Below are 12395 nucleotides of genomic sequence, written 5' to 3' on the forward strand. Positions count from 1 at the left end.
GATATGGAGAAACTGGAACCTTCATACATTGCTGATGGGAATGTAAAACACTGCACTGTGGAAAACATTCCTCAACAAGTTAAACACAAAATGACCATATGACCCAGAACCTGCAGTCCTAGGTATATACCCAAGAGAACTGCAAACGGGTGTTCCAACAACTTGTACATGAACGTTGATGGCAGCTCTATTCACAAAAGGTGGAAACAACCCAAATGGCCACCAGTGGATGACTGAGTAAGCAGAATGGAGTCTATTCTACAATGGAATATTATTCAGGCATAAAAAGGAATGAAATTCCAATATATGCCACAAAGTAGATCGACTTTCAAAACAATCTGCTAAGTGATAGAAGCCACATGCAGAAGCCCGCAGGTCATGGGGTTCTGTTTCTGTGAGATATGCAGAATAGGCAAGTCCAGAAAGGCAGACGGCAGCTTAGCATCTGCTAAGAGCTGTGGGAAGGGGTAATGGAGATTGAGGGCTAAGGGATGTGAGGTTTCCATTTGGGGTGATGAAACAGTTCTGGAACTAGATTGGGGTGATGGTCGCACAACACTGTGACTACTGAGTTATATACTTTAACACTGTTAAGGTGGCCAGGCACAGTGGTATGTTCCTGTCGTCCCAGCTACTAAGGAGGCTAAGGTGGGAGGATCACTTGGGCCCAGGAGGCAGAGGTTGCAGTGAGCCAAGATGGCACCACTACACTCCAGCCTGGGACAGAGCAAGACCCTGTCTCCAAAAAAAAAAAAAATTTGTTAAGGTGCTAAATTACATATTATATGCATTTTACCACAAAAAAAGTTAAACCTACAAATACTAAAGGAAAATATGGATTAATTCTACAATCTGGATTTCTAATGATGACTAAGTATGCTCATGCTATTGTCTAATGGCTATTTTCATGTCTTTTGAGGATTGCCTAGGCATGTCTTTTGCCATACTGATTCAAAGATTCCTTTTTTTTTTTTTTTTTGAGACGGAGTCTCACTCTGTCGCCCAGGCTGGAGTGTAGTGGTGTGATCTCAGCTCACTGCAAGCTCTGCCTCCCAGGTTCATGCTATTCTCCTGCCTCAGCCTCCCAAGTAGCTGGGACTACAGGTGCCCGCCACCATGCCAGGCTAATTTTTATTTATTTATTTATTTACTTATTTTTAGTAGAGACGGGGTTTCACCGTGTTAGCCAGGATGGTCTCGATCTCCTGACCTCGTGATCTGCCTGCCTCAGCCTCCCAAAGTGCTGGGATTACAGGTTTAGTAAGCCACCACGCCCGGCCCAAAGATGCCATATTTTTTTTACAGCTACATGGTACTCTGCTATGTAGCTGTAACTTCTTTATTTCATTGAACTACTCTATTTATTATTTATTTATTTATTTATTTTTTTGAGACAGGTTCTCGCTTTGTCGCCCAGACTGGAGTGCAGTGCAATCACAGCGCACTGCAGCCGTGAACTCCTGGGCTCAAGTGATCATCCTGCCTCAGACTCCCAAGTACCTGGGACGACAGGCACATGTCTCCATGCCCAGCTATTTTTGTTTGTTTGTTTGTTTGTTTGTTTGTTTGGTAGAGACAGGGTCTCGCTACGGTCTTGAACTCCTGAGCTCAAGCAATCCTCCTGCCTCAGACTCCCAAAGTGCTGGGATTACATGTGTAAGCCACCTCACCTGGCCAACTACTCTCTTCTATGTGGGTGTTTAGGTTGTCTCTAATACATCTGCTGAGAAGGCCTAGAAGCAATGACACCCCAGGAGTGACATGCACACGTAAACACTATTTGCCACTAAAAGTGACAAGGGCTCTTTAGAGCAATGGCTAATTCCAGGGCTGGGGTGAGGAATGTACAAGATCAGCCAGAAAGCCAGGAAGTGCCCACAGCATGATGGGGACAGGGTGGGGATATGATGGGGAAAGTCAAAGGACACAGTGATCCGCCTGGAGAGGCTCCTGCTGGCCACGTCTAGGACAATTTGAGCATCAAAAACTTGATAATGAAGACATGGAATCAACCTAAATGCCCATCAATGACAGACCAGATAAAGAAAATGTAGTACATATGTGCTGCGGAATATTACACAGCCATAAAAAAGAAAGAGATCACGTCTTTTGAGGGAACATGGATGGAGCTGGAGGCGATCATCCTTAGCAAACTAACACAGGAACAGAAAACCAAGTGCTGCATGTTCTCACTTATGAGTGGGGGCTAAATAATAAGAACTTACGAACACAAAGAAAGAAACGACAAACACTGGGGGCTACTTAAGAGGCAGAGGGTGGGAGGAGGGAGAGGAACGGAAAAGATAACTATTGGGTACTGAGCCTAATACATGATGAAATACGTGGGTGATGAAATAATATGTACAACAGACCCCCATGACACATCTTTATCTATGTAACAAACATTCACATGGACCCCCAAACCTAAAATAAAAATTTTTTAAAATATTTGATAATGAGAAATAACATGGCACTGAATAGGATACAAATCCATGAGTCCATAGATACATACACACACAGGGAGAGAAGAAAAACCTGTTCTTTAAAGTAGCATTCCAACCAGTCAATGTAGAATTCATGATAAATTTAGAAAATCGCCTTTTGGTAATTACTATAGTAACAATTCAGGCAAGAAATACATATCAATCCTAAAACTAGCAAGTGAAAGTTTGATGAGAAAGAAGACATTTACACAATCCCAAAGTAGGTCCCCCTGAAGCCCTGACTGGTGACAAGGGGGAAAGTAAGCCCTTTATTAAAGTAGAGAACTTTATGGTGGCAGACGCCCCCTTCACCAAGTGACCGGCGTCCACTTCACCGGAAAGGTGTCGCGGCCGCATCGGGTGACCCTGCTGGGATGCAGAAGCCCAGGGCAGCCCACGGATGGGTGGGTGCCCACCTGAGGGCGGAGGCTGGCTCTGATGGTGAGGAAATGTCGAAGGGCAGGTGACACAAGAACTGGCCGTTGTCCTCCTGAAAAGTGCTCAGGTCGTGACAGATGAGACAGGACTGAGGAGCTGTTCCAGATGAAGAGACTGAAGAGAAAGGACAACGAAACAAAACGCGTGGCTGGAGGTCTCCTCTTCCAAGAAATGACGCCCCTGAGACAAGGCACAAAATGTGAATGAAGCCTGCAGCTTAGCTGATAGCATGATATTTGTGCTGATTTCCTGATTTTGACAATTATACTGTGGTTAGGAGAATGACCCTGTTTTTATGAAACATCCACTGAAATATTTAGGGGTAAAGGGATATGATGTCTGCAAATTCCTCTCAGGGGTTCAGAATTCATATAAACACACAGTGAGAGATCGTGAGAAATGAGATATGGGCAGATCTGGTGAAATGCTAACATCGGGCAATCTGGGTGAAAAGGATATGAGAACTCTTTGTATTATTTTTGTGACTTTATGTTTGAAATTGTCAAAATAAAATGTTATTTATTATTTAATAATTGTTTTTTTAGAGACAGAGTCTCACCATGTTGCTCAGGCTGGTCTCGAACTCCTGGGCTCAAGTGATCCACTACCTTGGCCTCCCAAAGTGCTGGAATTACAAGCGTGAGCCACCTCGCCCAGCCCTAAAGTGTTATTTTAAAAAAGGAATTAAGAAATACAGGCTGAGCAGTGGCTTGTGCCTATGATCCCAGCACTTTGGGAGGTCAAGGCAGGAGGATCGCTTAAGCCCAGGTGTTTGAGACCAGCCTGGGCAACATGGCAAAACCCCATCTCTACAAAATATTTAAAAATTAGCCGGGCATGATGGTGCACACCTGTAGTCGCAGCTACTCAGGAGGTTGGGGTAGGAGAATCGCTTGAGTTGCAGTGAACTGTGATCGCACCACTGCACTCCAGCCTGAGAGGCAGAGCAAGACCGCATCTCGAAAAAAAGAAAAAGAGCTACAGTGGGCCTGTGTGTTAAGTAAGAGCATGTGTTAGTGCTGCCTTTTACTGTCTCCGAAGGTGGGAGCATCACCAAAGCAGGCCCTGAGAGAACTAGAGGACTCTAACTCGCTGAGGGCAAGGAGATTCTTCCGGGAATTTTTCGTTGGCTTCTCCCAAATAATAACAGCCTGGACACAGGATGTGCAGGCCAGCCCTGGCTGGGGACGTCTTCCAGGCTGGCGCCAGAGGGCGCTGTCCCCAGGGACCACACGGGATGCCAGGCCACATAACTCTGCAATGTGTTGGCTGAACTTTTCAGGAAACTTGGATGCCGCACATACTTTTCCTTTCTTTGTGGGCAGGCAAGATGAGTCACGTTTTTCTGGAGTCTGCTCAGCCCCAGTATTCAGACCTCATCAGCTGCCCTGGTCCGGAAGGCTCCAGCTGTGGCCAGTGAGCGGGGGGCCCAGGGTGCCCGCGTTGGCTGGGCCAGCACTGGGGCTTAGGGGCAGACTTGGGCAAGCCAGAGTCAATCTTTTTTGTCGGGTACAGGGTAAAGCTCACAGTAATTCTGGATCATGGCAACATCTGGGGACAGACCCAGGGCCCTTTGTACAACTCACAGGGCACAGCCCTGAGGGAGGCTGGGCTTTGGCTTCATATAGTCCCTGTTCTCCCGCCCACCCAACCCCCTCCGCCGCACCTGACTCCCCACCACCTCTCCAGGCCCTAACTTCGAGTACCTCACTCTCCAGCACTTCGAGCTGCACCTCACTCCCCAGCACTTCTCCAGGCCCTACCTTCGCGGTCCCCTCAGTTCCCCTGCCTCCCTTCCTTCCGAAGGCCACTGTGGTATTGGAAAGTTGGAGCAGCGACCTGAAGGAAGGGACCCCACCTGTGTCTATCTGCAGGAAGGGTCGCTGCAGGCTCTCTGAGAGGCAGGCTCTGGGATGGAAATGAGCATGTTGGATGTACATCAGGGAGTGCTCTTGGGCCTGACAAAGGGGCGATGGAGACCCCGTGAAGCCCCGACAGAGAGTTCTGAAGCCCGGATGCCCCTTCAGAGCTGTCCTGAGCGGGGGTCGGGGGCTGGTCCTTTATGTACATCGGCCGGTTATTGGGCGTAGGCCGGCTCTGGGAGGGGCTGAAGGCTGGCGAGGTGGTGCTCCTTAGCTGAGGGCCATCTGTCTGTCACACCCACAGCTGGGAGTGAGTTCCTCATTCTTGAAGGAATCGGGAATCTGGGAGGCACGGCACAGCACAGCCTCAAGGGTGTTCTGGCTCCAGGGTGTTTTCTAGCAGAGGGCCTAGGGGACATGCTCAGCATCTCAGGGTGTTTCAGGCAGAGGGCCTAGGGGACATGAGCCTGAGCAGAGGAAGACAGGGGGTGGGTGTGCACAAGACACAGTCAGAGCCAGCCCAGGGTGACCTCAGAGGACCTCAGAGGCCATGTGTGGTGGGGCTTGGAGTTTTCATTTAAATGTGCTGGGGCGGCGTCAAGGGGTTGAACAGGGGATGACATGATGGGATTTATGTTTTAAAAACAGGAGTTGGCAAATTACTACCCAATGGCCCAATCCTGCTGGCCACCTGCTTTTATAAATACTTATTGGAACACAGCTGCACCATTAGTTTATACTTTGTCTATGGCTTCGTAGTTGCAAAAGAGACCACGTGGCCTTCGAAGTCTAAGACATTTACCATCTGGCTTTTTACAGGAAACATTTGTCAACTGCTGTTTGAAGAGACTCCTCTCCTTGCTGGGCAGAGTCATTTCCAAGGCAGCAAGGGGACTCTCACGGGGGCCACGGCCCCTCACGAGCCTTCCCAGTTTCACCCCGGTGCCTAAAGCAACTCACTTTAGCAGTTGCTCGTGTTCTTTGGTATTAATGATATAAATCACCTGTGCACACCATGAGGTTCCTCCAGGAGGCTGCGGGGCCCTCCCAGGTGGAAGTGGAGAAAAGTCCTCAGTGTCTCTACCTGTGCGCAAACACAAATACTTCCACTGCCCTCTCCCGCCTCCTCTCCCATCCCCCATTGGTCTCCTCCTCTTCTCAGGCCTCTCCCCCTGGACCACCAGTGATGCCGGCAGCCACAGGTCCCTCTGCCCCCAAAGCAGGTCTCGCCTCTGCACCATCGGTACAGTCCCACAGGCCCCTGTGGCCTCCCTGAAAGTGAGGAGTAAAATGACTCACGTACAGGTCATGTGAGCAATGCCCCAGGAACACACACCACACACGTGACTGCAACGAAGGAAGTGTGGGTTCCTTTTAACGTAGGAGCCACCAGAGCTTCCCCAGGAACCTCTCTGCCTCTGAGGCACCAAAGGTTTCCTGTCCTTGCAATGCTGGGAGGGACCCTAGATGGATTTGTGGGTGCATCTCGGGCACCCCGCTCAGCACATGGCTCAGGCACACGCAACGACTCAGTGGTGCCTCCAGGCGAGCGGGTACCTGCGCTGCTCTCATGCTCAATCCTCACCCCTACTCTGCCTGGATGCAGGGGCTGACCTCTGACCCCTGCTGCCATGTGTCCAGGCTCCCGCTGGGCAGGAGACAGGGAGACACCTTGGGCAACATCTGACCATAGCTACAGCCCCTTTGGCTCCCGTTCCTGCCAGACAGACCAACTGCAGCTCCTGGTTCCAGCCCCGCCAGGGCTCCCAGCGCCGCCCTCTTCCCTTCTCCCACCTGGGGTGGGAAAGGATTTTCCTTACTCATCGGTGGGTCGCTTCCCAAACTCTAGTCTGGCGTCTCAGCTCTTTCCTCACCTTTATAACCACGCAGCCACATAATCAGAACTGTGACGTCCGTGTATTAAACTCCATCTGCTTTTAGTACGGAGAGTAACCCTCTTCCAGGTAGGACCCGGGCTGACAGCTGAGCTAGGGCCATCTGCAGGAGACGATTCAGACGGGGTCAGCGCTGCGATTCGGGGGAGTAACCAGCGGTGAGCTTCAGGCCTAAATGCTGGAGTCCTAAAATTACTCGAGTCTGACCCCCCGGTTTTTGGTCTTGCTCTATATTTAGGGACAATGGCCCTATTGATGCTCACTCGCTGAACCACTGCCTGGCGTTTGTTCTGCGGGGCAAGCTGGAGTGGGGTGCTCCTCAGCCCCGGGAGCCCTTGGGATGGAAATGCAAGACTCAGAGGCTCTAAATTAAAGTCTTAAAAGCTTGGGCTCATTCCTCCACACAAAGCACAAAACCTTTGGCATTTTATGGGAAAACAGACTTTTATTTGAAAAATAAACTCAAGTTGCTGGGATATAAAGGAAGAGCTGTCTGTGATCCAACGCTGAAATGGTGTGAAAGGACCTGAAGTTTTACAAGTTAAATAAACTTCTCTGAAAGACTCATTCGAATTTCAAACAGCTCCCAGCACAGATCCTCTGAAAAAGATCCCCAGATGCAGCAGGATGAGACACAGTGCCCGCTCCAGGGTGGGGGTCAACCATGTGGAATGGGAGATTCGGATTCAACCACAAACAGAGAAAATTAAATTCCTTTTGGATGTTCAAAATACACATGACCTCGGTCATAATTGTGAGCTAGTCTTGGAAACGGACAGGGGGAAAATCTACCATTCCACATCTCTGGCAGAAACCCGGGACTTACTTCCATCCAGCGGATCCTCTGTGCCCTAAGAACCCCCCAAACCAGACTCGCCTCAAAGGCGTTCCAGACGCATTCTGCTGTTCTCTGACCATCTAGGGTGGTGTTTTCCAAACTGCAACCACTGCCCCCGCCACCCCATCATGAAATCAACCGTGTGGGTCAGATAAAGCAGCTGAAACAATAGAATCGAAAATAAAGTACCTAGTCAGGGTCAATATTGCTTCGTAAAAGGGCTTTTGTTGATGTGTTGTATGTGCTGGATTATGCCATCAGATGGATTTGTTACTGTGGGCTGCAGTCAAAACGTTTTCAAACCACTGCTGCGATGAAGCCCTGCGGCTCCGCTTTACCATCTCAGTGCTGTAAATCTTCCCCGGGTGTCAGAGTATATTCTCCACCTTTTGCTTTGTGCTTGTCCCTACCAGACACCATGGTCATCACCTAGAGTAGCCTTCGGTGTAATCAAAGTAGGTGGCTGTCTAGGCCAGTGATTTTCAACTCTTTTTTTTTTTTCTAGTAGGACAAAGATAATGTCCCAATGTCCAGCAGGGCTGATCCTGTCAGTAGCAGTTACTGGGTGTGCCCTGCTGCCCCCATCAGACAAGATGCCATTTCTTGCTCCGTGGGGGCCAGCTGGCCAAAGGCCACCTTGTCTCACTCCCTAAAAGCTACCACTGCATGATTTTAGGGTTCTGGGAAGACAGTCGCTTCCAAAAAGAGAATCTGTGGCATCTGGTTTTGATGCTAGGAATTCTTTCTTTGTTATGAGATAAATGTGTCAACTACCCCTGAACTATGTCACCTTTAAGTTCTATAATGTCTATTTTAAATATTTTTGCCAGAACTGTTTCCATCTGAGGGAGGAGGGAAAAGGATAAAGGCATGTTGAGCTCTAGGAGCTGGGAGCCCACAGAAAGGAAAACAGAGCAGGGAGATCCAAGGTCCCCAGAGACATGGTGTTCTTCCCATGTTGGGTGACCATCAGTGTACCCCAAAGGTTCCAAACCCCGAAGGCACTGATAGACCTGGGGGGATGAGGAGGTATGAACTGGAAGAGCTTGGGAAAATAAGAGGCAAGTGCATGAAAAGCTCAATATGTGATTTTTAAAGAGACAAGAAGGCAATAGGAAGTTATCACGAGAGAACACAGACTGCAAAGAGACTTAAAATAACAGCTATATTTCAGGGCTCTGGCAGATTGCTCAAGGCAAACAGAATCCAGTAAGGCTTTCTGTAGCGGGCAAGACTTGAAGGAGGTCTCTGAGGAGGCGGGAGACCATGCTAATGTATCTCCAGATCCACTGCAGGGACCCCTCACTGCTCACCCCAGCCCTGTCTCTACCATCTCTTTACTGCACAGTAGCCAGACATCTCTCTGCATTGCATCCGATCGACATCCGATGGCTTTCTGTATCGCTCAATTAAAACCTGGAATCCTGACCTCTCCTGCAAGGCCCCGCCCCACTCCCTGACCTCACTCCAGCACCTGCTCCCTCCCTACTTGGTTCTGGCCACATTGACCAGCTCCCTGCAGGCTCAGAGGCTGCTCCTGCCTCCGGACATTTGCATCGTGGGCCCCTCCGCCAGGCGTGCCATGGCCTCCACCTGTCCTCTCCCTGGCTCCATCTCACCACTGGCCAAATGTCTCCATGTCAGAGGCTATTGCTGACTTGCCCACATAGAGCAGCACCCCCGCAGCCCCTCTCCTTTGACTGTTGTTCCTCTTGGCACTTGGGACACATGACACTTTTCCACCTGTGGTACCGATTGTCCCTAGAATGGTATCCCCACGAGGGCAGGGATGGGCTCATTCACTGCTGCGTTCCCAAGGGCCCAGCACTTAGCAGGTTCTCATGTAACGTGGTGCAGGTGAATATCCTCCATGCCAGACAACTCCCCTTTGAAACGCCTGGGCAGGCAGGTATCCTTGTCCGCTCCTAACACCAGCTTTCTTCTGTCTGGGAGGCGCATTTGAAGGTGAACCGCACTGGAAAAAACCCAGGCAGGAACGATACCTGCTGCTTTCCCCCAGGCAGGACCAACCTGCTCCCAGCACCAGACTCAGCATGTGAGGCTATGTCACCCCCTAGTGGTCACTCTGTCACAAAGCCAGAAAAACCAGAGGTGGGCTCCGCCTGGCCAGCTGTTCTCAGGGCCAAGGGGACCCCGACCTACTCTCTCACCCAGACTTTTTCTACGAGTGAACTCAGATGTAAACAGACATTCAGAAAATAAAGGTGAAAAGGCATCTAATATTGAGGCCACATTGTCTTGAATGAGGGAGAGATTTAACATCGACATTCTTCCTTCTAGTACGGGCTCCAGGCTGAGCGGCTGTCCCAAGATGTGGACTGTGGTGGGGTAGCACCAAGTCATTCCTACAGAGTTTCTCTGTTCATTGCAGATTATGTGGGAATTTATCAAAGATTAGCCTTTTCTTTTTTTAAAAAAGGAAGCTGAGATGGGAGGCAGGCCAGAGAGAACCTAGGAGAAGTGAATATACAGCAGGCAGAGCCCAGACCTGAGCAGCTGGGTCTCCCAGAAGCCTGTCTCCATCAGCCTGCTTTGCTTCCTTACTTCTTTGAGAGAGAGCTGGGTGTTTGTTTATTGTTTTTGAAACAGAGTCTTGCTCTGTTCCCAGGCTAGAGTGCAATGGCAGGATCTCGGCTCACTGCAACCTCTGCTGCCCAAGTTCAAGTGATTCTCCTGTCTCAGCCTCCTGAGTAGCTGGGATTACAGGCACCCACCATGCCCGGCTAATTTTTGTATTTTTAGTAGAGACGGGGCTTCACCATGTTGGCCAGGCTGGTCTCGAACTCATTATCTCAGGTGATCCGCCCACCTCGGCCTGGCCTCCCAAAGTGCTGGGATTACAGGCATGAGCCACTGCACCCAGCTGAGAGAGTTTTTTAAAAGCTGGGGACTGCCCTACAGCATGAGGCTTTTGCTAATGTGCACTTAGCATTTCCTCTGCCCCAGACCTCTGAGTGGCTCTCTCTCTGGCTCCAGTGTGGTCTCCTTACCAGAGAAGACTTCCCTCGCCATTCCATCCAAAGCAGCACCCACCCCACTACCCACTCTCTCGCTCTGCTTTCCTTTCCTTGACAACGTGGGGGCAGTTAAAGTCTATCTGTGCTCCCGTGCCCCATCCCTCCTCCAGCCCTCTGTCTGGAAGATTCCAGGCTAGCTCTGCCAGCTTGGCCATGATTGCCTTCAGCCAAACAGCGCACCTTGTCCATAGCTCCCCTGGGGCAAGGAGATGTGTCAGGATAAAGTTAGGATGGCTTCGTGGCATGAACAGAAAAAAATAACTGAAAGGAGGCTAAGCCACAAGGATGCTTATCACCTACAATAACGAACAGTTAGTAGGTAGGCAGTTGCAAAGCAGGTCAGCTTAGCGAAACTGCCTTTGCAAAAGTATCACTGTTAGGAGAAATCTGACATAGCTGATTCCATATTGCTTCTGACCTCCAAGTGTCCTTGGTCATTCCTGGGCACACACAGGCCAAGCTAATTTTGGGAGAAATTTAGTTTATAGTTTAAACTACATACAGTTTAAAGCAAGGATGATACTAGCCCTTCCCCAAACTAAAACACCATTGCAAAACTAATGAGAGGCCGCAAGGTTAGGATTGAGAGAGGCCTGAATTCTGCTAAGATGTAGGTGTAGTTAAATGACAACCAGCCATTGTCCCGAGGTCACAAGATTTGTAACTTCCCCAATTACTCCTGTAGATAACATCACTATTAGAGAACCTAAGATTGGCCTTTTGAGATGTCTTTCCAGACTTCTGCATTTCTGGCAACCAATTTGACCTCACCTGGACTCCTGACTCACCACCCAACCAGTCCTGTGGCCCCACCCAGAGGAGGAGTCAGTGTCATTTTCCACACCCCTCTGAAGGCATCCCAACTAATCAGCTGCACCCATTCCCTAGTCCCTGCCCGCCAAACTATCCATGAAAACTGCTAACCTCTGAGCCTTCAGGTAGACTGACTTGATTTGATAGATAACTGTCCTGCATGGCATGACCGGACTCATGTCAGTTAACTCTTTCTTTACTGTGACGCCGTGGTCTCAGTGGATTGAGTTTCCCTGTACAAGAGGCGGAAGGACCCATCGGGCAATGACATTGGTGCTGCCAACTGCGTGGAGAATCACCTGCCCACCTTTCCACTCAGCCACCTTGTGCCTTGACCTTTGTCCTCATGGCCCTAGAAACCATGTCCCCAGACCACAGTCAAAGGAAGAAAAGGAAATTTATCCCCGTGTGTCTTTTTTGTTGTTGTTAGGGGACGCACGTTTTTCTTAAATCCCTAGCCGACTTCTCCCATTCACTGGCATGTGGGAAGGGGATACTTCTGACTGAACTAGACCAACTGCAGCTCATGGCCTGGGGCCATGCCCTGAGTTAAACCAGGTTCTGCTATGAAGAAACAAGAGGCAGCCACTGTCCGATGGGTTAGCACAGTCTGCTGCGCACCTCAGCGAGGAACAAACTGTGCACATGGACAAATGTGATGGACTTAGCGGGAGAAGGGGCCCAGGACAGGTGGGGAGAAGACGAGAGGAAGGCCCTGCATGGTAGCCGAGGGCAGCAGGATCCCCTACACGCATCTCCAGGGTGGGAAATGACTTTCCGCAGTAGGCAGGCAACTGTTGCAAGAATGAGCCCAATGGAGGAAGGAGGCTTGGCTATCTCACAGTATTGACACACGTACTCACACACATATGTTAATTCTTACATATACGACGTATACGTAAGCTTAAGGAGCAGGTAGGCAGGCACAAGAAGCCTAGCTGTGGCCTACTGGGAGCCTCTAAAGGGAGCCACCACTGAGAGGCAGTGTCAGTTCTGTGAGGATGGGGGCTAGGAAGGCTGGCATGGGC

The 12395-nt window shown here is 49.9% G+C and overlaps 1 protein-coding gene across 17 annotated transcripts in view, besides 5 other annotated features; it reads right to left on the reverse strand.

Annotated features, from left to right (window-relative positions):
* Positions 1 to 12395, reverse strand: part of PRKAG2 (protein kinase AMP-activated non-catalytic subunit gamma 2) — a 320989-nt gene that overhangs the window by 194010 nt on the left and 114584 nt on the right. The gene's annotated exons all lie outside the window — the stretch shown is intronic.
* Positions 2407 to 3190: an enhancer, noted in NCBI's record as "H3K27ac-H3K4me1 hESC enhancer chr7:151449629-151450412 (GRCh37/hg19 assembly coordinates)". NCBI's record gives its function as "activates a minimal SCP1, AML or CMV promoter by ChIP-STARR-seq in naive H9 embryonic stem cells {active_cell/tissue: H9 hESC(naive)}" and the evidence as "EXISTENCE:reporter gene assay evidence [ECO:0000049][PMID:30033119]".
* Positions 2407 to 6491: a biological region, named in NCBI's record as "VISTA enhancer hs2199".
* Positions 2811 to 6491: an enhancer, noted in NCBI's record as "VISTA enhancer hs2199". NCBI's record gives its function as "enhancer in: midbrain (mesencephalon)[5/6]" and the evidence as "EXISTENCE:transgenic organism evidence [ECO:0001131][PMID:17130149]".
* Positions 4757 to 5538: an enhancer, noted in NCBI's record as "H3K27ac-H3K4me1 hESC enhancer chr7:151451979-151452760 (GRCh37/hg19 assembly coordinates)". NCBI's record gives its function as "activates a minimal SCP1, AML or CMV promoter by ChIP-STARR-seq in naive H9 embryonic stem cells {active_cell/tissue: H9 hESC(naive)}" and the evidence as "EXISTENCE:reporter gene assay evidence [ECO:0000049][PMID:30033119]".
* Positions 6727 to 9883: an enhancer, noted in NCBI's record as "VISTA enhancer hs2200". NCBI's record gives its function as "enhancer in: midbrain (mesencephalon)[8/12]" and the evidence as "EXISTENCE:transgenic organism evidence [ECO:0001131][PMID:17130149]".

This window comes from Homo sapiens, chromosome 7 (assembly GCF_000001405.40).
Source record: "Homo sapiens chromosome 7, GRCh38.p14 Primary Assembly".
Taxonomy (NCBI): domain Eukaryota; kingdom Metazoa; phylum Chordata; class Mammalia; order Primates; family Hominidae; genus Homo; species Homo sapiens.